The sequence below is a fragment of the Homo sapiens genome, chromosome 2 (assembly GCF_000001405.40).
Source record: "Homo sapiens chromosome 2, GRCh38.p14 Primary Assembly".
In the NCBI taxonomy this organism is placed as follows: domain Eukaryota; kingdom Metazoa; phylum Chordata; class Mammalia; order Primates; family Hominidae; genus Homo; species Homo sapiens.
In genome coordinates, this window is record NC_000002.12 from 148,872,976 (window position 1) to 148,896,687 (window position 23,712).

At 43.6% G+C, this 23,712-nt stretch overlaps 1 protein-coding gene and 1 long non-coding RNA gene across 3 annotated transcripts in view, besides 4 other annotated features; one reads left to right on the forward strand and one right to left on the reverse strand.

Annotated features, from left to right (window-relative positions):
- Positions 22 to 22,039, reverse strand: KIF5C-AS1 (KIF5C antisense RNA 1). The gene is made up of 4 exons (XR_001739733.2): positions 15,312 to 22,039; positions 12,560 to 12,622; positions 4,037 to 4,367; positions 22 to 3,220 (listed from the first exon to the last, which is right to left on the reverse strand). It is a non-coding gene; the product is annotated as a KIF5C antisense RNA 1 (long non-coding RNA).
- Positions 2,076 to 2,545: a silencer, noted in NCBI's record as "silent region_12001". NCBI's record gives its function as "represses an Ori minimal core promoter by ATAC-STARR-seq in GM12878 lymphoblastoid cells {active_cell/tissue: GM12878}" and the evidence as "EXISTENCE:reporter gene assay evidence [ECO:0000049][PMID:35858748]".
- Positions 2,252 to 23,712, forward strand: part of KIF5C (kinesin family member 5C) — a 151,533-nt gene continuing 130,072 nt past the window's right edge. For both annotated transcript variants that reach the window (NM_004522.3, XM_017004062.2), the window contains exon 1: positions 2,252 to 2,768. In NM_004522.3, the coding sequence (NP_004513.1) occupies positions 2,643 to 2,768 (126 nt within the window). In that variant the 5' untranslated portion in view covers positions 2,252 to 2,642. The remainder of the gene's footprint in view (positions 2,769 to 23,712) is intronic.
- Positions 2,918 to 3,496: an enhancer, noted in NCBI's record as "H3K27ac-H3K4me1 hESC enhancer chr2:149633462-149634040 (GRCh37/hg19 assembly coordinates)". NCBI's record gives its function as "activates a minimal SCP1, AML or CMV promoter by ChIP-STARR-seq in primed H9 embryonic stem cells {active_cell/tissue: H9 hESC(primed)}" and the evidence as "EXISTENCE:reporter gene assay evidence [ECO:0000049][PMID:30033119]".
- Positions 3,497 to 4,076: an enhancer, noted in NCBI's record as "H3K27ac-H3K4me1 hESC enhancer chr2:149634041-149634620 (GRCh37/hg19 assembly coordinates)". NCBI's record gives its function as "activates a minimal SCP1, AML or CMV promoter by ChIP-STARR-seq in primed H9 embryonic stem cells {active_cell/tissue: H9 hESC(primed)}" and the evidence as "EXISTENCE:reporter gene assay evidence [ECO:0000049][PMID:30033119]".
- Positions 15,230 to 15,825: an enhancer, noted in NCBI's record as "H3K4me1 hESC enhancer chr2:149645774-149646369 (GRCh37/hg19 assembly coordinates)". NCBI's record gives its function as "activates a minimal SCP1, AML or CMV promoter by ChIP-STARR-seq in primed H9 embryonic stem cells {active_cell/tissue: H9 hESC(primed)}" and the evidence as "EXISTENCE:reporter gene assay evidence [ECO:0000049][PMID:30033119]".

Genomic DNA, 23,712 nt, shown 5'->3' on the forward strand with positions numbered 1-23,712 from the left:
ATCCTTTGCCCATTTTTAAAATTTTTTTTTGGTTGTGAGTTATAGGTATTCTTTATATATTCTGTATATTAACTCCTTATCAGATGTATTATTTGCAAATTTTTTCCCATTTCATGAGCTGCCTTCTCACTCTGTTCATAGCATCCTTTGATGTGCAAAAGTTTTAATTTTGATGTAGTTAAATTTATCTGTTTTTTCTTCTGTTACCTATCTTTTTTTTTTTTTTCCCTGAGATGGAGACTCACTCTGTCGCCCAGGTTGGAGTGCAGAGGCACAATCCTGGCTCACTGCAATCTCTGCCTCCTGGGTTCAAGCGATTCTTCTGCCTCAGTCGCCAGATTAGCTGGAATTACAGGCACGTGCCACCATGCCTGGCTAATTTTTGTATTCTTAGTAGAGACCAGGTTTCACCAGGTTGGTCAGGCTGGTCTCAAACTCCTGACCTCAAGTGATCCACCCATCTCAGCCTCCCAAAGTGCTGGGATTAACATGCGTGAGCCACGGCGCCCGGCCTGTTACCTATCTTTTGGTGTCCCTTTTCAATTGTTTTGAATCCTACTTAGCCCATTTCCTATATTAAGCCTTCTCAGACAACACTGAGAACTTCATCCTCTGTACTCCCACTAGTTTCTAAGCTGCCTGAGGGCGATGACTTATTTTGCAACCTCCCTTCAAATGAGAGGCCCTACGTTATCTCCCTTGAAAAGGGTTCACTTAATAAATCTAAGTTTACAGAGTGACAGCAAATGCCATTTGCTCAGTTAATAGCTGATGAATGAACAGATGAACGAATGAATGATGACTGAACACAGTGACACACAGATACGTCTCTGTCCACTTGAGATAATCCTGACCTCCTCAGATAAACCAGTGTATGCAAGGTTCTGGGCATCTTCTGGTGGGCTCAGGGAAACTGAGAATTGGATTGTCCTCTCTAGTATATTATGAAGTTGATCATTTAAGATGATGGGTCTCTGAGCCAGAGCCTGAGAATTACTTAATTTAAAAACAGATGAGAAGGTGGCACCTGGGTCTTTTTAATCTACTTCCACTGCACATGAGGAGATGAAATAGAACTGGTACTACTTACAAGGGTTTATAAAAGTTGATTTTAGTAGGTCTGTCCTCTCAGCTAGGCAGAGAACACTTGTATTTTCAGGTATTACCCGAATTTAAGCAACAGATGTGTTCCTAAAATTAACTAACTTATTTGTTTTATGATCATTTGTTCAGCACCCAATAACATCTAACTTTCAAGAGCTTATCCTATATACATGTCAGGCACCGTGCTAGGTGCTTTAAAAGCATCTGTCTTTTAATTCCCCCAGAAATCACAAGATGATATTATTCCAATGACAGAGATGAGGAAACTGAGTCTTAAGGAAATTAAGACTTCTTAATTTCCTCCGCTCTTAATTTCCTCCGCCTGTTGGTCATACATCTAATAAGTGGCTGAGGTGGGATTCACACTCATGCATTGCTTCTTCCTAGGGTAGAATCCTTATTCAGTATGCTGCCCACTATGTGCTAGATGCTACAGACACAAAGATATCAAGCAGATATCACCACCCAAGTGCAGTGCTAGAGACAGGCACAGCAGATTAGGGGAACATCAAGGAGGGCCACCAACTCTTTATAGGTGTTTAGTGAGCTGGGAAAGTCTGAGGAAGGAGGGTTGAGCTAGGTCTTAGAGGAAAAGGAAGTTCTGGAAAAATAGAGTGGACACTCAGTTGTTCTGCCAGCCCGGCACCATGTCTGGGAATACCATCCCTCTTCTTTTGGGAACCTTCCCACCAAGGGATTCCTCCATAATCTTACAAAATCCCTGATTCTGGTTGATTGGTTTAGCACTAGATGCCAACCTAAACCAAGGCCAATCAAACCCAAACTCTGAACAGACATCCATCCTTATCTAGTGGTAGAAGTTGAAGGATGAAACCCAGGGGCTATTGGGAGCTGTTTCCCAAGTGATTTTCTTTTGGGATCAGGATGATCCAGACCCAGTTATCTAGAGATTTTAACCGGAAATATTGGATATGACCTCCATCCGGTTCCGGCTTGGGCAGCCAGACCGGACTTGCAGGCTCTTGGAGGTCGCATCCTGTCCTTCCCCCGGCAGGTAGAGTGACTACAAGTCCCGGGATGCGCAGCGCTCGGAGTCGGGCGGGGGCCGGGCGGACCTCTACGGTGACGTCACCGTCCCGGGGCGGGCCAGGGGAGGGCGGGGCGGAGGGGCGGGTCTCAAGGCGGCAGAGCGCGCTGGTGCTGATGCAGGATGGCTGAGCGCGCAGGAGCCCGGGAGGTCTGAGCCGGGCGAGGCTCGCTCCCTGCGCATCGCCTCCTCCGCCCGCCGCGTGGTCGCGGGCAGGTGGGCCGGGGGGCGCTGGGCAGGGGCGGGGCAGGGCCAGGGCAGGCCGGTCTGCAGCCGGAGGGGCCGGAGCGGAGAAGCTGCCCACCTTCCCGGGCTCGGAGCGGCCGGGGCTGCTCAGCCGGCCGGGCTCGCGATGACCTGCTGAGAAGCGTCGTCGGAGGCTGCAGGAGGCGGCCTAGCTGTGGGCGGTGCAGCTCGCGGCCTCCTCCCTCGTCGTTCCCGGCCCCGGCCCCCCACCCATCCCCGTGCCCCCTCCCTACCGCCGGCCGAGATGGCGGATCCAGCCGAATGCAGCATCAAAGTGATGTGCCGGTTCCGGCCCCTCAACGAAGCGGAGATCCTCCGCGGGGACAAATTCATCCCCAAATTTAAAGGCGATGAGACCGTGGTGATCGGGGTAAGTGGCTGGGGCGTCTGCCTTCCCTGCTGCTCCGCGCCGCAGCTGGGCGCCCCGACGCCCCAGACGCAGCGGAGGTGTTTAGGCCGCCCCCTCGGACATTCCCGCGGGGCTGGCCTCTCGGGTGGACCTGACCAGAGACCCCTCGCCCCGCGCACTATGGTTCCCTCCCGGGCGGGTGGAGAGGCGGCCGGGAGCGGCGGGCCGGGCGGGGGTGGCGGGGGTGGGGATGGGGGGCGAAGACGGGCTCGGCGCCGCCATTGTTCGCCGGGTGGGGGCCCGGGTGGGCCCATTGTTCCCCACGCTCGCCTCGCCGCGTGGGTAGTGTGTTCGGGTGACCCTCAAGCCGGGTGCCCAGGCCCCCTTTAAAGTGTGAGCTCTGCAACCCGCAAATGCTTCTGGGCATCAATCAATTCGATTTACCAAACGCCTTGCCTCTTCTTCTCACGACCCTAGCAAAAAAGAAAGAAAAAGGGGTACAGGAAAATTTCTAGTCGCGTCTCGGAGCTCCCGCGGCAGTGTAGACGCGGCTCCCCGCGGTGTTACACCTGGCTCCGCGCGCGGAAGGCGGAGGGTTGGGGGAGTACTGGTGGCCTCGGTGTCCCCTGGAGGCCTGGTGTGTCTCCCGCTTCCTCTCACGCCTGGCTGCCCTGGATGTGGAGTCCCGGCTTGATCCCTCCCCTCTGGGATGACCTCCCTCCCATGTCTGCAGACCCTCTGATGCGCCTCACGCTGGGTGGAGAGGAGGCTGTGTCCACATCTGTGGGGCGAGGGGGCTCAGAGCGCAGTAGCCCCCTGTGCCAAGAGCAGAAGTTACTTCGTGCGGCTCGGACCCCCCTCCCTCTCTATCTCCCTTCCCCACCTTTTCTCCCCCACCCCCTCCCCCTACTTAGCTCCCTCTCTGCAGCTGGGGCTGCTGGTAGGGGGAGGGAACACCAATGGATTGTAGTTCTTAAAGGAATCTGTCAGATGAAACAAACCAGCTCGGTCCCCCGCCCCTTCCCCGCCCGCTGTCCGTAGCGTGTGTGGCTGATGGTGCCCCCTTTGTATGCGAGCCGCGTGGGGAGGGACCGAGTTAATGGGAGCCTCCCGGTCCCCGCTGACACGTTCCTGGCAGCCTGCTCCAGGCTGCTGATGCAGCCTTCCCGTCCCCAGCATTGATTAAGTGATGTCATCCTGATCACTGAGCATGCTCCGACTAACCCCCTCCTCCCCTTCCTCCAGTGGCTGGTGTATTTAGGTCAAGTGATTGACAGGTGACAGTTTACCGAGGGTATTGCAGGAGTCCGCCTGGCCTTTCTCAAGCGCCAGAGGCCGACGTTTTCCAGCCCGGGCGGTCCCCAGCATCTTTGCCAAGGTTGTCTGCCGCAGTCGCAGCGAAGGGCCCTGGGGACCAGCAGGTGCCAGCTGTACCGTAAGGCGGGAGCTCTCCACGCTAGAGGAGCCTGGGCAAGGCTCTGGCCTCAGGGCTTTAACCTGTACCTGGCTTTAAAAGGCTGCTCCCTTTGACGACCTCTTCTCACCTCCCCATTTTCACAGTCATCAGGAACGTCTGACCTCCAAACGCTGTGTGGATGGGCGATCATTCTGCGAGCTGACCTATGAGGGCAGGAAAGCGGGGTTTTCTCTCTGTTTAGTGTTAAACTTGCAGAGAAGATATAAGCTACGATTATTGATGAGGAAGGAAATTCTGCAGTTAATGGCAGATAAGTGTTAGTGACATATACATAGGCAGTACCTGGGGCAGTTAGTGACTTATTTGGTTTACAGCTCTCAGCCAGTATCTGCCTACAGCCTGATCTGCTACTTTCTGAGCCAGGCTGTGGTTTAGATAGAGTGGGAGTTACTGGGGACATCTAGTCCCTGCCCCTTGGCTTGTAACAATTTTTAAACAAATAATTGTGCAGTACTGGAACATGTTCTGGCAACCCTATTTTTTTCCCAGAGGTTTTGAAGAGCCTGAAGAAGTTTTTCTTCTCCCCTCCTCCCTCCTCCCCCATCCCCTTTCCCCTCTCCCCTCTCCCTTCTCCTCCTCTTCTTCTTCCAGAACCAATGAAATGAAGTAATAAATCATCTTCCTTGACCTGTATGCAAGGCAGAGCTCCTTAATTTTAGAATTATCCTTCTTTAATATGACATTGCTATGAGTATATATTTCCTTATCTAAATAAACATATATTAGTGGCTAAACAAATTAAAACCAAGTCACCATATTAAATAAGAAGTTTAAATAAAAATCATAGATGTGAATATACACATTGCTTTTCAACCGTAAAGTAAGTTTTGCTCATCCTACTATAATCCTTTAATACAACAGTTTTCAGTTTTTCTAAGGTAAACTTTTTATTGAAATGAAGCATTCATATAGAAAACTGTTATCATAAGTATACAGTTGGATGACTTTTCATAAAGTAAATGCTCCCTGTAACCACCTCACAGACTAAGAAACAGACATTTTGGGACCCTAGAAATCCCCCTTGTGGCCCTTCCAGTCCCTAAATCCCCCTGCTTCAGGGTAACCATGATTCTCACTTCTGATGCTATTAGTTTTGCTTGTTTCTTTTTAACTTTATATTACATAAAACCATAGAGTATGTTCTCTTTTGTGTGTGGTTTCTTGGGATTAAGTGTTATGCTTGTCAAATTCATCCTCATTGTTTTGTAGTATTCCATGATATGAATATACTACAATTTGTCTACTGACTGTTGATGGATATTTGGATAGTTTCCGGTTTGGGGCTAATATGGCTAGTGCTGCTATGAACATTCGTTTATGTATATTTTGGTGAGTGCATGTACAGAATAGAAGACTGCCAGATACTGAAGGGTTTGGGAGTTGGGTTGGCATGTGCCAGGATCCTTCCCATTCCTAATTGATAATGTGGCACTAAAGGAAATGAGGGTTCTGGCAGTCTGTATCATGCCATATGCAATGAGTAGAATGGTCCCAAGTCAATTCAGTTGGAGCCGGCTGACATGGCTCAGTTGCAAGTGAAAACTGTCTGAGATGTACACAACCTTCCTTAGTTCTAGGGGCACAGACTGTGGATGACCAAAGAAGCCCAGATCATCCAGAAATATGTCACCTTCAAACAGAGACAAGTAAAGAATGAATTTTGGTGGAGTTATCTGTTAGTCCAAATTCAGAATCCCAGAAATTCTTTGTGTTTTTGAAACTGGGGTCATTTTTTCCCTTAAAGTTCTGTTTGTTATGGAGATATATTCCAAGAAAGAGATTTTACAGGTGGAGTTTCTAGATTTCTCTTTTATGAAAATGTCCTGTTTGGGAGAAATGTTCTCCATCACTCCTGCAGTTTTTCAGCTTTGTGCAAAGCTGTCTTTCTCTGACCACACCAGCCACAGTCTTTCCCCACTTTGAACTCCTATAGCATTTGTTTTGTATATGATCTCCCAAGTTTTTTGCCTTGGATTATTATTAGCTTTGGTCATATGCCTAATGACATTGTAAGCCATGTTTAGAGACAAGAACTGTGCATGTTTTGCTCCTTTATACTTCCCAGGGCTTTGTCTGTAGAAGGCACTTAGTAAATATTTATCGATCTCTCTGTGAATTCTGGAAACTTTACTTTGGTATATTTAACATAGTTTACAGAGTTTTTATTGGCCGTAGGCTGTGGGGAGTAGTTAAAAAATAATTTTAAAGATAAGTGCTGTTTCTCTGAGTGGGCCTGGTAAGATAGCATATATAATACTTAAAATGATATAAGAAAATTGGGAAAGAACTGCATTCAGCTTTGGCAAAAATTAGAAGAGCTAAAGATGCTGATGGTGAACTAGAAGTAGAGGGTGGGGGTGGGTAAGTGATTAGAAAAGAGGCTCCCTCCCATAACACATTAATTTTTCAGCAAAAATATTGGATTTACAGCATTTCTCAGAGTACTCCATTAGCTGCTAAAAGTCCTGGTGAGTCATCCATTACTTTGGGTTCTGCCTATTGGTTTTGAAGCAACTGTATTAATGGAAGCTCTCTGACATGGTGAGTTCTCAGTAAAGTTCTTTGAAATGGATTTTCACACTTCACTTTCCTCTTATTGGGCTTTTCTCTTGTTTGCAGTCCTGAGAAAGCAGGTCTTGTTAAAGATGAGTGCTTCCTCCTGAGGGCCTAAGAGCCAGAGCAAAACATCAGCCACAAACCCTAAGCTGGAAAGTGGCCCCAGTCTTCAGAAGCTTAGATTATTTCTTGGCAGTAGATGGATGGGGAAGGGGCCTGGAGACCAAATCCGCGCCTGAGTTAGGATTTTAGAGATTAAGTGAAGAAATACAGCTACACCTTAAAACTTTTCTTCTTTCCACAGTAATGGTCTTCCAAAGCAATAACATTAAAACAATTTTTTCAAATTTACACGCAGTAATACCACTTTTTTTTTTTTCTTTGAGACTGAGTCTTGCTCTGTCACCCAGGCTGGAGTGCAGTGGTGTGACCCTGGCTTATCGCAACCTCTGCCTCCTGGGTTCAAGCAATTCTCCTGCCTCAGCCTCCCAGGTAGCTGGGACTACAGGCGTGTGCCACCACATTCAGCTAATTTTTGTATTTTTAGTAGAGATGGGGTTTCACCATGTTGGCCAGGCTGGTCTTGAACTCCTGACTTCAGGTGATCCACCTGCCTTGGCCTCCCAAAGTGCTGGGATTATAGGCATGAGCCACCATGCTCGGCTTGTTTCCAGTTTGGTATGATTATGAATAAAGCTGCTATAAACCTTTGCATATAGGTTCTGTGTGAGTATACATTTTTATTTCTCTTGGGTAAATATCCAGGAATGGGATTGCTGGGTTGTAAAGTAACCATACGGTTAACTCTGTAAGAAACTGCCAAACTGTTTTCTAAAGTGGTTGTACCAATTTGCATTTCCATCTAAAAGCAGTAACATTTTAAACCAAAGTAAGTTTATTTAGTCACTTTGTCTAAGTGCATTCTAGTCTAGTAGTGTCAGGATGTATCAGTTCTTCATTCCTCTGTGCCCTAAATTCAGAGATGTTTATATCACCTGAAATGGGTTAGTGGTTTCCTTCACATGTACCCTGTGAAATCATGGACTGAGGGAACATCATAGAGAGCTGTAATCTGGCGTGTGTCACTGAGGCCACTCACTATTCACAGTAGGCACACAGTCAGTGAATGGGGTGGGTAGAGGTAGCAGGAAGGGTGAGACAAAACCGAGTGTAGATTCACTAGCTAAAAAAAAACCTAGTTTTTTTTTTTTTTTTTCAAGTTGCTGAGCTTTCCTGGGCATGAGTTTTCTTGTATTGAAAGTGCAGATAATAATTACTTACCTCACAGGGTCATTTGGATGAAATGAAATGAAGTGGTGAGAGAGTGTCTGGCACAGAGAAAATGCTCAATAGGCGCTGATTACCTCCTATGTCTCCTGTTCCCTTGGTGACCTTCCTCATGTCAACATTAGCTTTGGCCCCACAAATTAGTGCCCCTTCTGGCTATCCCCTGAAAACCCTTCTTGCATTACCATTTCTTAGGCATTTGTTCACCCCATTCTCCTGGTTGGAATACCCACTGTTTTCATCTATTTCTGGTATTTCTAACTATCCTTGAAGGCAAAACTCATATTTCATTTAGCTCTAGACTACGTTAGCTGTTCCTTTGTGATCATGCATGTTTGTGTGTGCGTGTGCGTGTGTATATCTTCCCATGTAGCTTTTTCTTTTTCTTTTTTTAATTAAATTTTTGTCTCCTTTACTGTAGTTGTGTAATTGCTTAGTAAATGTATCTTGACTGAAGGTTTTTTTTCCCCCTTTCCCTGCCTGAAATCACGACTCCATAAATGCCAATTTCTGCATTTCTGTAAATAACTTGGGTATCACTGGAGACTTCCCTCTGCCTCACCTGTGCTTGTCTGGCCCGACTCCCCTATTTAATGATGTTTTCCATTCTCAGCTCTTCTTCCCATTCACAGTTGGAAACCTCCCCCTACCTTTGATTTCCCTTTAGTCCTTACCTCTAAATCATCGTGGTGATTTAGAGGGTGAACTCACTGGAATGGGGATGCTTGCATGTGTAATCTTACTAAGAGCTAATAGAAAGGCTAGGACCAAACCTATTTGTTTATGGGGTGATGTGAGCCCGTCTAAACAGTTTCCCACCTGTGTCTACTTATGTAAAAAAAAGCAAAAACAAATTGCCTACTCCCTAATGGTTTCTCTTGAGTTCAAAAAAATAAAGCCCCTTGACAGATCCAGTCTCACCTTACTTTCTTCCAGGTTTTTTTTCATAAAGTTCTAATTTTGTGGCTGAGAAAGCTCTCCCCATAACCCATTTGCTGCACGTCAACCAAGTTCCTCTTAGTAGGAATTGAGTGGTTGAGTTTGAGGTTGTTTGTAAATATCATGGAGAACTCGGGAGAAAACTATTTTAGATTCACCGTGGCGTCTTCACAGCACCGAACCTGAGGGTGAGTCAGATAGCCAGGATGAACTCTGAGCTCTGAGCTCTGCCACTTCTTATCTGTGAGAACTTGGGCAAATTCCTAAACCACGCTGAGTTCCAGTTTTCTCACCCGTAAAATAGAGATAACAACACTCTCCACTGTCTAGGGCCGTTGTGTGCTAAGCCCAGTGGCTAGTCCACGGCAGGCATCCAGATAAGGCCCAGTAGTGCTTACTTCTCTACACTGTTGTCCGGCTGATTAATCTTGGGAAGGTGCAGACCCTTCAGAGGTTCCCCTGTGCCCTCAGGTTGGAAACCAGATGCTTCAGTAGGGGCATTCCAGGCCCTCCATACTGTGGGCCTGCCTACTCCCTAGCCTTACTCCTCACCCCATATTTCATCTGTGCTTCTGTTCCCCCTCAAGAAGATTAGGCTGCTCAATGCCCATCCCTTTTCCCTCAGCTGCTCACATCAACCCAAATGCCTGGGGAGACTGTCCTCAAAGCTCACCTGCATGGCCTGTGAGCTTTGGAAGGGCATCCATTCGCCTTTAGACTCTCAGCCCACAATACCTCCTCTGACACTTTTTCTGATCAGCCCCTGTCTCCCCATTCTGCCAGCCAGGTGGAATCAGCCCCTTCCCCCTAAGCATCACTGTACTTTGCCCTTCCCCAGTAGAGCATTTCATTTATTTGGTAAATCTGTCCTTTCCTCCAATTAGGCTGAAAACCTTGAGGGCAGGAAATTGTGTCCCATTTATTTCTGTCTCCAAGACCCGGAACAAGGCCTAGAACAGAGTAGTTGCTCAGTATAAGACGTCTTTTGAAAAAAGTGAAAGGGTGCTGACCCTCCTTGGCTGTCAGAGTTTGGGGTTATTTGCTTGGATTGTCACTTTGACCTCTGTCCAGCTCTGGCAATTTGTCTTTCCTCCTTTAGACATCTTTATGGTTTTGTTATTATTCTCTTAAAATAAATAGCTTCTTTTTGTATATGTGGGGGTCCCAATATGTTGCCTGCTCAGTGAAGAAAATTTAGACCATGCAAAAAATCATAAAGAAGGTAAAAATTACATTTTGGCCAGGCGCAGTGGCTCACACCTGTAATCCCAGCACTTTGGGAGGCCGAGGTGGGTGGATCATGAGGTCAGGAGATCGAGACCATCCTGGCTAACATGGTGAAACCCTGTCTCTACTAAAAATACAAAAAATTAGCCAGGCATGGTGGCGGGCACCTGTAGTCCCAGCTACTTGGGAGGCTGAGGCAGGAGAATGGTGTGAACCTGGGAGGTGGAGCTTGCAGTGAGCTGAGATCGTGCCACTGCACTCCAGCCTGGGCGAAAGAACGAGACTCTGTCTCAAAAAAAAAAAATTACATTTAATTTTACTAACCAGAAAACACGATAATTAACATTTTATTGTATATTCTAGTTCTTTTCTATTCTTACAACACACTTTGTTTTAAAACAAAGATATTTTATAAAATCTATTTTAAAACTGTTTTACTTAATAGTATAGTATACTAAACTAAATGCTGATGTCTGAAGTCTAATGTACTATACTTTTTCAGCATTCTAAAAGTTGCATATAATTTCATTATATGCCTAATCAATACTTTATTTCCTACTGATGGACCTTTGTTTTTCTGTTGGTTTTTTTTTCCTATTATAAACAAAGGCATGATATAAACAGTAGTCCACATACCTCCTTGTGGACTTGCCCAATTATTTTGTTAGAATACATTCCTAGAATTGAGATTACTGGGTAAAAGGATATACGAGATGATTTTAAGACACCCACCACAGTTTTTGAGAGGGAGCAATTTAGAAATAGCAAATTGTCTTCTGTTTTATAGTCTCACTTCTCTGCTCACCCCATGGAACTGCTGCCAGTTTGTCTCATAAAGCATCCCTTCATATTCGAGCTAAATTAAATTCTTACTGAGGGTATGTGCTTCGTCATGCACTGTTAACCCCCAGATCCGGAACATGGCAATGCCTTCAGACTTTTAATGTAAACCATAGGATTTTGTAGGCTGTCTTTTGTCAGTTTCAATATCCTAAAGGATGTTGTTTGTTGGAGGTGATCAAAAGCTAAATCTCTCTCTGGAGGCAGACAGAGACAGAGGCCAAGACTGTAGTCTTAGAGAAAAATAGGATGGATATACCCTTTCTTCTTGGTGCTCACATTGAATGGCCTGTGATATCTTCTGGGCAATGGTAAGCTGAGAAAGGAAAAAAACAGCCCCCTCAGAGAAGCCTTAGACAGGACTGCTTTTTCTCTCCCCCCTTGATTCCTAGACTCTTTTAGAAAATTTATTATATAAAATTTCAAACATACACCAAAGTAGAAAGAATAAAAAAAGTACTTATCAACCAGTTTTAACCATGATCAGCAAATGGCCAATCTTATTTTTTGTATACTCTCCTAACCTTTCTCTCCAACCTCACTAGATTGCTTTAAAGCGAAATCTTAACATCTCATATCTTTTGATCCACAAACTTCAATATGTATCTCTTTAATTTTAACATAACCACAATAACACTATCACACATAAAATATTAACAGTAATTCCTTACTATCAAATACCCAGGCAGTTCTACTTTTCTTCTTGCAGTTGGTTTGTTCAAATCAGAAGGCTAGGTACTGTTCATTTCCAGCAAGGAGAAAGAAATGCTCATACATGTTGACCTTGAAACAAGAGGAGCCTTTTGCCATGATAGACTTGTCTAGTGTAGAGTCAGGTGTGGTGGTAGAAGCACACACGGGGCCATCAGGGCTAAGCAAGATTCCCAGCCTATCCCCCCCTCACAATGGCCATGTCCTAATTGTTTTTTTTTTTTTTTTTGAGACGGATTCTCACTCTGTCTCCCAGGCTGGAGTGCAATGGCACGATCTTGGCTCACTGCAACCTCCGCCTCCACTCACTGCAACCTCCGCCTCCCAGGTTCAAGCAATTCTCAGCCTCCCTAGTAGCTGGGATTACAGGCGCGTGCCATCATGCTTGACTAATTTTTTGTATTTTAGTAGAGACGGGGTTTCACCATGTTGCCCAGGCTGGATTCAAACTCCTGAGCTCGAGCAATCCACCTGCCTTGGCCTCCCAAAGTGCTAGGATTATAGGCGTGAGCCACCGTGCCCGGCCCAGTCATATCCCAATTATCCTTTGTAATCCACCAGTGCCAGTGTGTCAGGGTCACCTGGAAAGCTATTTAAAGAGCTTCCTGCTCTGTGGCCTTCTCCCTGCTGCTGCTTCACCTTGCCTTAGCTTGTGTAAGCGTCAGGGAAACAGGCAAATGCGTCTCATTTGTCTTCAGAACCCTGTCTTATTAGATCGCCATCAACTACATTTGGAGCAATCCTCTTAAGTGTGTCTAGGTGTATTGCATATTACCTTTTCCGCCAGTGCATACCCATCCTTGATGTGAACTGAACGCTGGAAAATACGTCCACAGAGCTGAAAAGAAAGCATATATGTGAGAGCAGAATTCAGCACAACACAGTATTTTAACGAAAAAGGTTTGTAGTTCTCTTTTTATGTTTCATATTCCTCTTCTCATTAAAGAAAAACTTTTGAAGGGAGATGGAGTTGGAGGAAAAGTGCAAATAAAAAACAAACCCCGGTGATTTATGCCTTTAGCATCTTTGGCTGCAGGGTATGTTCTTAAGAGCTGCAGATCACTAATAGTATTTTAGAAGCATTTTATTTGAAGATGTTCGTTACACAATTCTGTATTGACACATGGTGGGACTCTTCCTTTGTCAGGCTTAGTCTTTTACTGGTCTCTCCCATTTCCAGGTCTTATTTTGCCAAGCAGTCGGCTTCAATTCTCTGAGGAGATTATATCATAGTTTTTCTCTGAACAACCTGTCTGGCACCTCACTCCTAAGAGATTATTGATTTTCACCTGGGAATCTGGGCACATAACAACTCCATCGATATTAGAAACTTTGGATAGTCATGGGGGAAGGGACTTTTGTTCCCCTTTTACAGCCACCTCTTGTCCCATAGTCAGGGACAAATGCCAATCTGGTCAGTATCCAAACCTCTTCCAGTCCTGGTTCCTGGTGGGCAGGATCCCGAGTGAGGCTGTCAGTTCCTTCCTGCATCTGCCCTCTGTGACAGGCTGACCTCTGTAGGGTCTGGTTTCCTGGGATGGCTTCCAGGGCCGACTTTTTTCTCTCCTCTCTGAATGCTGCTGAGGGGATAAGTTCAGCTGGCTCCACAGATTCAGGCCCAACTGGGCTGGTCTTAAGATTTAGAATAGGTTAGGCTGCAGGATGTTGGGTGGGAAGGTAAGGAAATGGGAAGACTCCACATAAGCCTCCTCACCTGGGTCTTTGGCCAGGTTCCGTATTGGGATGACAGGTTTGGGTGACCTACCTAGGTGGTGCTTGGATACCTGGAGTATCACTATTCTTGTGTAGATCAGACTTGCCCACCCAGCATGGAAGAGGCTGTTAGGGGAGGCTTCTGGCACTGGGTCCCTGGTACTAATGTCATCATGATAGCATCAAATCCCTCTAACTACTAATTGTTTGTTTATATGATATTTGTTGTAAAGTAGACTTTAGAAGGGAAGGAAGTAGTTAGCTGTTCCAGAATAATTAATTACTTCACTAAAAAACACAACCTGCTAATTATCTGTTCAAACAAGCGGGAGAAAAAACACCCAGACTCCCCTAGGATATATCCTAGAGTAACAGCACTTGCTTGCTCATGTGTTTTTTAAAATTTTCTTAATAAATATGGCTCTTGGTAAAGACTGGCTTGAGGATCTGTTTGAAACAATGTTTTCTGGTCTAGACATTTATCCAAAAGAGTTTGAAAGGGGGAAAATATACACCTCTTTGATAGCTACTTCCTTAGTAACATTGCGCTGTCCAAATGGTAGCTGCACGTGACTACTGGGCACCTGTAATGTAGGTAGTCAAATTGGGATAAGCAGTAGGTATAAAATAGCCATCAAATTTCAAAGACTTAGTACACAAAAAGTAAAATATTTTACTAATATTTAAAAATATTCATTACATGTTGAAATGATAGTATTTTGGATATGTTAGGTTAAGTAAGTTATTAATAAAATGAATTTCACCTCTTTCTTTGTACTTCTTTTAATGAGGCTGCTAGAAAATTTAAAATTACATGTGTGGCTCACATTTGTGGTTGGCATTGTATTTTTCTTGGACAGCACGGCTCTAACATTTAGATGTGATATTCTGATTTTTTTTTTTGCCTTTATTTCAGTTTCACTTTGATATATGGAGAGTCTATTGTGTGCTAAGCTCAGTCCTAAGCATCATGGATTTACTATGATAAGACAAGATCCCCGCTATCAATAACCTAAGTCCAATTGGGGGAAAGCAAATTTAAAAAAATCGCTTCGTATCAGTGCCCAAAGACAAGTGGAAAGAAAACATGGGTGGAGCCAAACAGAGAAAGCACATTCGATTCTATTCAGGGAAACCTCAGGCAGAGGGACAATTTGATTCTTACTTTGAAGCTGGGGTAGGAATCTGCTTAGAAAATGTAAAATTTGCTTTTTTTTTTTTTAAATTCAACTTCCATTTTCGATGGAGGGGGTACATGTGCAGGTTTGTTACTTGGGTATCTTGCACCCAGGCAGGGACCATAGTACCCAGTAGGTAGTTTTTCACCCTACGCCCCCTTCCCGCCCTCCCCACGCTAGTAGTACGCTTCGGTTACTTTGCACTTCTCCGTAGCTGCTTTACATGTTTGCGTTTTGAATGTTGTTGAGGAAAGATGCGAAAAAGAATGTGTGCTGGAGGCTGGACCCTCCCCGCCCCTATCACTACCCCTTACCCCCGCAGCAAGGGCTGCGACCCCGCGGGTCCCCGCTGAGCACCGCAGCAATTAAGTACGTGCAAGCCATTTGCGGCAGCGGGTTTGAGATGCGTTCGTAGTGGGTGACATTGAGAACCCCCAGAGGCGACACGGGCGCCTGGTCTCTGAGAGGTGGCATGCTGCCTGCCGCCCTGGTGCCTGGCTGCCCCGGAAGGGGCCCCCAGTCGCCGGCCCCGGGAAGGTGCTCCAGGCTCGCGGCTCCTCGGGGGTCGCCTCTGCAGGCGGCCTGTTTCCAATTTCCAGGCGAGGAGCGACGCCGTGATGCAAATCTGCCACTTACCTTCTGTCACCATTCTGTCGCTAACGCTAGGAATGATGAAACCTCCTGTTCTGGAAATGCATTTCCCTTTAGCACCAGCGCCTTCTAATGAGGTCCCTCTGCCCCGCAGGACAAAAGCGCCCATTAGGGGGCCCTGTGGTGGGAGGCGGCCACTCCGCTTGGCGCCGTGAGGGAAACCAAGGAAACCGTCTTTGTCGCTCACAGGTGCCTCTTTTTGTCCTGGCCTCTGCTTGTGGAAGAGGTCGCCTTGCAGGTGAAGGCCACACAGCTCTTTGGAGAAGGAGTCTGATTCTGTGCTGAAAAATCTCTCTTCCCAACCCCCACTCAGGTCTCTGTTGTCTGGGTTGGCACAGAATTGATTTTTTTCCTCCTTTGTAAGTGGCAAAAACGCTATGATGGTAACATGAAAGCAAGCAACAAACGCAGCCCTAATCTGCCCACCCTACATCTTCCATTTTATTTTTTCTATCCTCCTTTCTTCTTTTGGTTGGTGCTTAATATTAAAAAAAAAAAAGTATATCCAACCACAGATATACAGTTCTGCCTTTTTTTCCTTTTTACCTAAATATACTCCATAAACAGTTTCCATGTTGTGTAATATCTTCATGTTTCTACTTTTCAGTGATTGCTTAAATGTCCATTGGGCTGATAGGTCACAGTTCGCTAACCCATCTCATTGTTGTTCATTGGGATCTCCACTTTCCCTTACTCTAGGTGATGGGCTAATGAGCATCTGCATGCACAGAGCTGTGTTCTTTTGTTGAATTGTTTCTGGAGTATAAATTCTCCAGAAGCCAATTTCCTGGAACCAATGCTGTGAACATTTTAATTTGATCCTATGAAATATTATCCTATTGCTTTCCATACAGGGTCTACTGATTCCTACAACCATCAGGAATGTATGAGTGTCCCATCTGGTGGTTAATTCATTTTTTAAATAAAGGAGATGAATCACTTGAAAATATTTGGAGAGCAATGGTCTGGGATTCATGTATCTTAGAATTTTTTTCCCTGTCTTTTCCTCTGATATATTTGAATTGTAAACTAATTGTATAACTATTTAGCAAACTATTTTAACTTGGAATATTGTTGCCAGTCAGCACTCTGGGGGCCAGGCTGGTGGGAGGGGAGTCTCCTGGGCTATATAGAGGGAGGAAGGACTTGGAGGGGTTGCTGTACCCCACTCCCCAACATCCATCAATTGGTGGAGGAATTGGTTGGAGATGGTGATTTGCACTTGGGACTAACTCAGGGTTCTTCTCACATGCTCACAGATGTAATTATTTCTGCTATTGCATTGGATGAACTTCAGACCTTTGGTATCCCAATAGCAGCACCCATGGGGATCCGTTTCACTTAGATGATCCGGCACTATGTTTGACTGCTTCTGGTAGGAATCCATCCTTCTTCTGGGAGGTGTGGTGACACCACTTACAAGGCATTACTTCATGCTTTGATGGTTATGGATACTCAGGGATCCGCACGTCTTTAGTTCTGGAAGAGCTCAGCCACCAGGCACATCATCCTCTGGGCATCACTGGCAAGCCCAGGGGCTGGGACAGGAGAACCTGAGTAAGGTAAACAAAAGGAAAAGCAATATGAGGAGGAAATTACGGTGGAAAAAGAGAGGAAAGGAATGCTGTGGGCCCCCTTTCTGGGTGTGTTTGTTGTCTTACTTTAGAAGACACAGCATGTTTCCTTTTCTACAAAATTTATTTTGAGTACAAAATGCTGCTCTTTATTGCGTAGGTTTAGTCACTCAAATACAGAGGTCCTTTTTGGTGCCTTAACTATCATGTTGAGTACCATTTACTTAAGAAACTAACTGGTTTGTGAAAAATTTACCTATACTGCTGTTATACCTATTTATAAGCTATAAATAATAACTTTTAAAATGTTTAAATAGAGACACTTTTTGCATACAACTTAAAGAACACACAAGGCACAAAGAAAAAAGGAAAGATGGAATAACAGTTTCTACAGGGGAGAAAAGGTATTCAAGATGATCACTGTTCCAGCCTGGGAAAGATAGCAAGACCCTGCCTCTACAGAATATTTTTAAAAATTAGCCAGGTATGGTCGTGTGTACCTGTAGTGCCATCTGCTTGGGAGGCTGAAGCAGGAAGATCACTTGAGCCCAGGAATTGGAGGCTGCAGGTAGCTATGATTGCACCACTGCACTCCAGCCTGGGCAACAGAGCAAGACCCTGACTCTAAACAAAAAAAAGAGCAGTGATCACTTTGTGTGAAAGGACAAGGAAGCATGTGAGCCACTTTTGAGAGGCCTGAGTATAGAGGAGAGAGCAAGGTTGCTAGAAAGGAGGGGATTGGATGTGGAGGGGCTTGAAAGAGGGCTAGAGGAATTGAAATTTGATTTAGTTGAGTTGGTATTCCACTCTATCCTATAGCTGGATCAGAAATACTCCCATGAGACATTTCTCCTTAAATGTTGTGTCTTTTGACCTCAAATAACCCTTTTCAGGTTCCCATGAGGACGGGTACTGTTGAAGTTTGCATTTCACAGTTTTATGGCTGGTAGCCCAAATGAGTTTCAACTGTTACGTGTTCTTGACTTAGCATCCAAAAGGATAAATATATGAATATCTTATTTAATTAATAGTTGGAGGATGACATTGTTCTGGCTACTGGTTATCATATATATTATATATATAGATCACCAGATTTCAAGGAATTGATATATAATGAAGTATGCATAAATTAAGCCACATTTTAAAAGTAAAGTATAATAAAGTAATTTAAGGCATTTTTCTGTTGGTATAGATGTTCCCTGGAAGAATTTTGCATTGTGGGTCCCATTTGGGATATTGCATATTTCAGAGTCTCCTGAGTGTACAGTAGTAGTTTCATGTCTGTTGAACTTGCTTATCATTTTGAGGGAAGAGGTGGTAGAAAACAATCCTATAAATGGCTTAATATTGGCAAAATTCCTTTAGCACTAAATTTCCTTCCAGAAGATGTAATTTATTCAGGAAAGTGAATATGGAAAGTTGGAGAAAAGGTGCTTTTCAACGTGGATACTTAGGAGGACCATATTTAGAGAAAATCCTCCAACCTTTTTAAGGCTAAGGATTGCTTCTTCTTTTTTTTTTTATTATTATTTTTTTCCTATTCACGTCACCTCAAACCAGACACAAATCTAGGCATTAATGTGTGCACTATAAATATCAATTAGTCGAATGTCTTGATTAGCAGAACTGCAGACAATGTATGTATTACTGCTCTTCTCACAGACCTTTATGGGCCTATTTCATGCAGAGCAATTTTCTTCTTACACCAACAAAGTCATATTCTTCCTCGCTTGTGAAATATTGTAATTCTAACAGTGTAGTGACAACACTTAAATAAGTGCTTTACATATATGAAATCATTCATTTTATTTTTATTTTGTATTTATTTTTTGTTTTTTTGAGACAGAGTCTCACTCTTGTTGCCCAGGCTGGAGTGCAATGGCGTGATCTCTGCTCACTGCAACCTCCACCTCCCAGGTTCAAGCGATTTTCCTGCCTCAGCCTCCGAAGTAGCTGGGATTACAGGCATGCACCACCATGCCTGGCTAATTTTTGTATTTTTAGTAGAGGTGGGGTTTCACCATGTTGGTCAGGCTGGTCTCAAACTCCTGATCTCAGGTGATCCATCCCTCTTGGCCTCCCAAAGTGCTGGGATTATAGGCATGAGCCACTGCATCATTCATTTTAATCTTCAGTATGACCCTATGAGGTAACTGCTCTTGTCATTTTCCCTCTTGCCATTCTGCAAATGAGGAAACTTGGGCATAGAGAGGTTAAGCAAGTTGCTGAAGGTCACAGAAGAGTAAGTTGTGGATCCAGCATAGTGGGCTCCAGCATCCTTGCTTTTAACCATTTGCTATGTTGCACCTAAATTTTGGTTCATACCAGGAATTGAGAATGTTTGAGTGCACAGCATTTTCTAAACTAGAATTTCTCCGAGGCACTAGTTCTTTGAGATATTACCTGATAAAAGGATTTGATGTCAATCAAATGTGATAAGTGTTGCTCTCATTCTCTGCCTCTTGGAGGCTGCCTCTTTGAATCAGCAATCCTGCAGTAAATGGAATAAGCATACCTAGCTTTGTTGTTCCCATTAGCAACCGATTAGACTGAGACGTAAGTTTGGGAACGACTATAGGAGAAGAGAGCTGTAAACCTGGGCTATACTTAAAAGTGGAAGAATTTTTTCCATCTCTGTTGCTTGCCCTTGCATTCATCTCAAATTATGTATGAAGTCCCAATTGGCTTCTCTGTCATGCTGTGATTTCCATCTGAAAGGCTGTTTAGGACCTTCCATAGAATGCAGTGCCATTCCTCTCAGGGTGTGGTGCATTTACTTGGAAACCTCTTAGGCTACACTTATGAATGTTTAGATGTACTATTAATCCACATGGACCTGTCCACAGAGAAAGGATTATGATGCTTTTCTTGTAAAAACCTTTATTTAATCTCTATTCTTCTCTGTCTTAAAAATGGAGAGATTTATGTCTGCTTCTTAGATTTCTAAGTCCATCTGCTCATTCAGCCACACTGCTAAACTGTCTTCTAAAAAATTTTCAGTAGATTTTGAAAGATATATCATGAAGATAATTTTTTCTTCTTCAAATAATGACAGTTTTGTTTCCTTCTTTCCAGATGTAGACTTTTACTTTCTTTTTTCTTATCTTATTGCATTGGATTGGACCTGCAGGACAGTTTAAAATAAAATCAGTGATACTTAGAACCCTTGTCTCGTTCTTAATCTTAGAACAAGGTTTGCTTTACGTTTTTAGTAGATATTTATTGTCAAGATAAGAAAGTACAGTCTATACCTGGCTTGTTTTGTTTTTAATCACAAATGGATCCTGAAGACCTTGACTGGCTCTTGCTTGAATTGCAGTAGTCTTGGAATACAATTCCCTGTTTCCTTTCTACTCTTTGGTCTCTTTTGAACACTGTTGCTAAACTCTTCTTTCCAAAGTGCCACTCAGATTTATGCCAATTCTCTGCTCAAAAACATGTAAGGCTTTTCTTTTGCTCACTAAAATAAGTTTGAACTCCCCAACTTGGTTTCTGTGATTCAGCAAACCCCTCCACACTATGTTCCCTTTAGCCTTTTGCCTTGATGACTGTACTTCACTTCAGGACTCTGCCTTTCTCAAACCTAACTATCCATTGTGTCCTAAACTCAGTCTGCACGTTCACTCGTCCAAGCCTTTATTGATGAGGTTCCCTCTTCTTCGAGTGCCATTCCCATCTATCTGTGGCTGTAAATTTGTTCTCACCCTAGAAACTCACAGTGAGGTATTTCCATTTCTCTTTAGTCACTTCCTTCTTGGAATTATCCCACTTGGAGTGTGAGCTCCTCTCAGGTCAGGGTTTGCTTGATTTATTTTCATATTCTCAACACATGATTCCGAATGGGTACACATAATACATGATAAAATGAATGAATGAATGAATGAATGAATATTTCTTGTGGCACTTACATTCTCATTTTCATGATTATTTTTAGTCTCATTACCTCCCTACATCCCATTATCGCTTCCACCTGAGGACTAAAGAAGCTGCCTACATATTGCTTTTGTGCAATTCACCGTCTTTGGACCAAACTGCAAATGCAGGCATTTCTTAGGGGAGCACAATTCATTTATCTTACCTTCAAGCAACTCACTGTTTAGTAGAGGAGACAGATGGATAGAAGTGCACACACACACACCCCACCACACACACATACACACACTGGGAATACAGTACCACTGACAAGTGATTGAATAGTACTAAAGGATTATGGAGCATGAAACACCTTTAAGGGTGGGGCAAAGTGGTTTTGCAGTGGTTTCATAGTAGTTTGCAAAGTGGTTTCATTTTCCACAGAATGAAAATAGTTTTGTATTGAATATCCAAACTCCATTATCTTCTATCTAGTTATCCAGTTGGCAGTGCCAAAAGGAAAGAAATTAGAGATTCACTAAGTACAGAAAATGATTGCCTTGAAATGATTTCTCCTTCTACCAAAATATAGAAGCCACATGTACAAAACACTTTTCTCTTTTTGCAACTTGCTAGTCATAAAATTATTTTAATGTGAACTAAAAGCTGGCATCATAAAGAAAGTAAGGTCCAAGAAGTTCTAAATTGAAGACATTAGTATAAATGGACCACACTTAAAATTCTATTGATAGTCCTCAGCTCTGAAAGGGAAATGTCTGTAATTTACCTAAATTGCCTTGAAATGAAAAGAAATAAGAGACTTCCTTCCTTGGATGTCTGTTTCCTGGTGTTTTCCTTATAACCAGGCTATAACCAGTGATTGAATTATTATTACAACCCTGTAGCAATTATTTTCATTTCAAAAGAGGGCAAGTTATTTTCAGCCAAAGCTTACATTTCAAATAAGTTTAGTACAATATATATATATATATATAGGGTGGGAGGGAAGATTAAAGGAAGTATAAAAGTAATCACAAGTGTTCAGTAGTTTCTTTTTACTTTTTTTCTTTAATTTTCTTTCATTTTTATTCCAAATATTATATAAACATTTTAGGTTGATTTAAAAAAATTCAGGAAGTTAAGATTTGGAAAGTAGAAATGCTCCTTATCCCCTCTCCTCTCCCCAAGAATAAGTATGAACTGATGGGCGTTAGGTTATTCTAACACCTTACTTTTATAAATTCTATTCTAAAATACTTAATATATATAAAATAATATATATAAAACAAAAAATTATGAGATGTTCTAAAGAAATTAACACCCATGAGGCCACCTTTTGCTTAACATCACTTTACCAATATGCAACCCTCCCTTCATCTCAGCTGTTATCCCCCTCACTCTGAAGCAAGCACTCCCTGGAATTTTGCTTTTTTTGAGATGGAGTCTCTTCCCAGGCTGGAGTGCAATGGAGTAATCTCAGCTCACTTGCAACCTCCGCCTCCCGGGTTCAAGCGATTCTCATGCCTCAGCCCCCTGAGTAGCTGGGATTACAGGTGTGCACCACCACGCCCGGCTAATTTTTGTATTTTTAGTAGAAATGGGGTTTCACCATGTTGGCCAGGCTGGTCTCAAACTCCTAACCTCAAGTGATCCACCTGCCTCAGCCTCCCAAAGTCCTGGGATTACAGGTGTGAGCCACCGCACTTGGCCCTACTTTTATCATTCTCTATGGTTTTATGGCAAACATTTTTTTGGCCCTAAATGATAGATTGTTTACTTTTTTTTTTATCTTGAATCTCCAAAATATTTATAAAAATACTGTATATATTTGTCTGTGACTTACTCTTTTCTCTTAACATTTATGTTTCAAATGGTCAAAAAACATAGCTTACGTAAATTCTATTTAATATAACTAGCGTATTAGTTTGCTTGAACTGTCAAAACAAAATACTACAGACTCAGTGGCTTAAGCAACAGAAATTCATTTTCTCAGAGTTCTGGAAATTGAAAGCCCAAGATCGAGGTGCCAAGGTTGGTTTCTGGTGAGGGCTATCTTCCTGGCATGTAGATAGCCACCTTCTCACCGTGCATGTCCTCACATGCCTGCTTTTCTGTGTGACACACACACACACACACACACACACACACCCACAGAGATCTGGTGTCTCTTCCTCTTCTTATAAGGACATATGAATCCTATTGAGTCAGAGTCCCACCGTTATCACCTCATTTATCCTTAATTACCCCCCTGAAGGCCCTATCCCCAAATACAGTCACATTGGGTGTTAGGAATTTTGCTAACCTCCAATGTGGGGCTTCAACAGTTAAATTTTGGGGTGGACCCAGTTGTGTCTATAACGAGTAGCATATACTAAAGCCATTATATGCTGCAAGGGGGTTGAGAGATGTGAGAACTCAGACCCATCCTCTGAAGCCAGGAAACCCATCCTCAGCTCATGAAGGGTTTCCTGGCTTTTTCCAAATAACAAAGTTTAGATTCCCTAGAAGAGAGCTCTCAGCGAGCCCTCCTAGAGAGTGGCTTGTGTGAGCAGTGAACAACACATACGTGAGCTAAGCCTGCAAACAAAGGAGTAGAGAGGCCACGTCAGCAGCATGCCAGCTTTTCCTGGGGAGGAGTGGACATTATTGGACCTTGAAGCCTGAGTATTGGAAGATGCTTGGATATCCAGCTGCTTCTTTCACAATGGGGTGGATGGCTACATGAAAAGAATTCTACAGCAATCAGACCATTTCATGGACTGCCTCCCCTCTGGAGCATCACGATGCTGATGTGTATCCTGTTTTATTCAGTGAGAAAAGAGAATCCCAGGCGAATGTTTTGGTAAGGGATTGAGAGTGTACTGGAACAGAGAATGAAAGGGAGGTAATTCTCTTAGCATCATTATGCCTTGCTGGAACTGTCTGGGACAAAAGACAATAGAAACCTAAGAAGTTAAAAA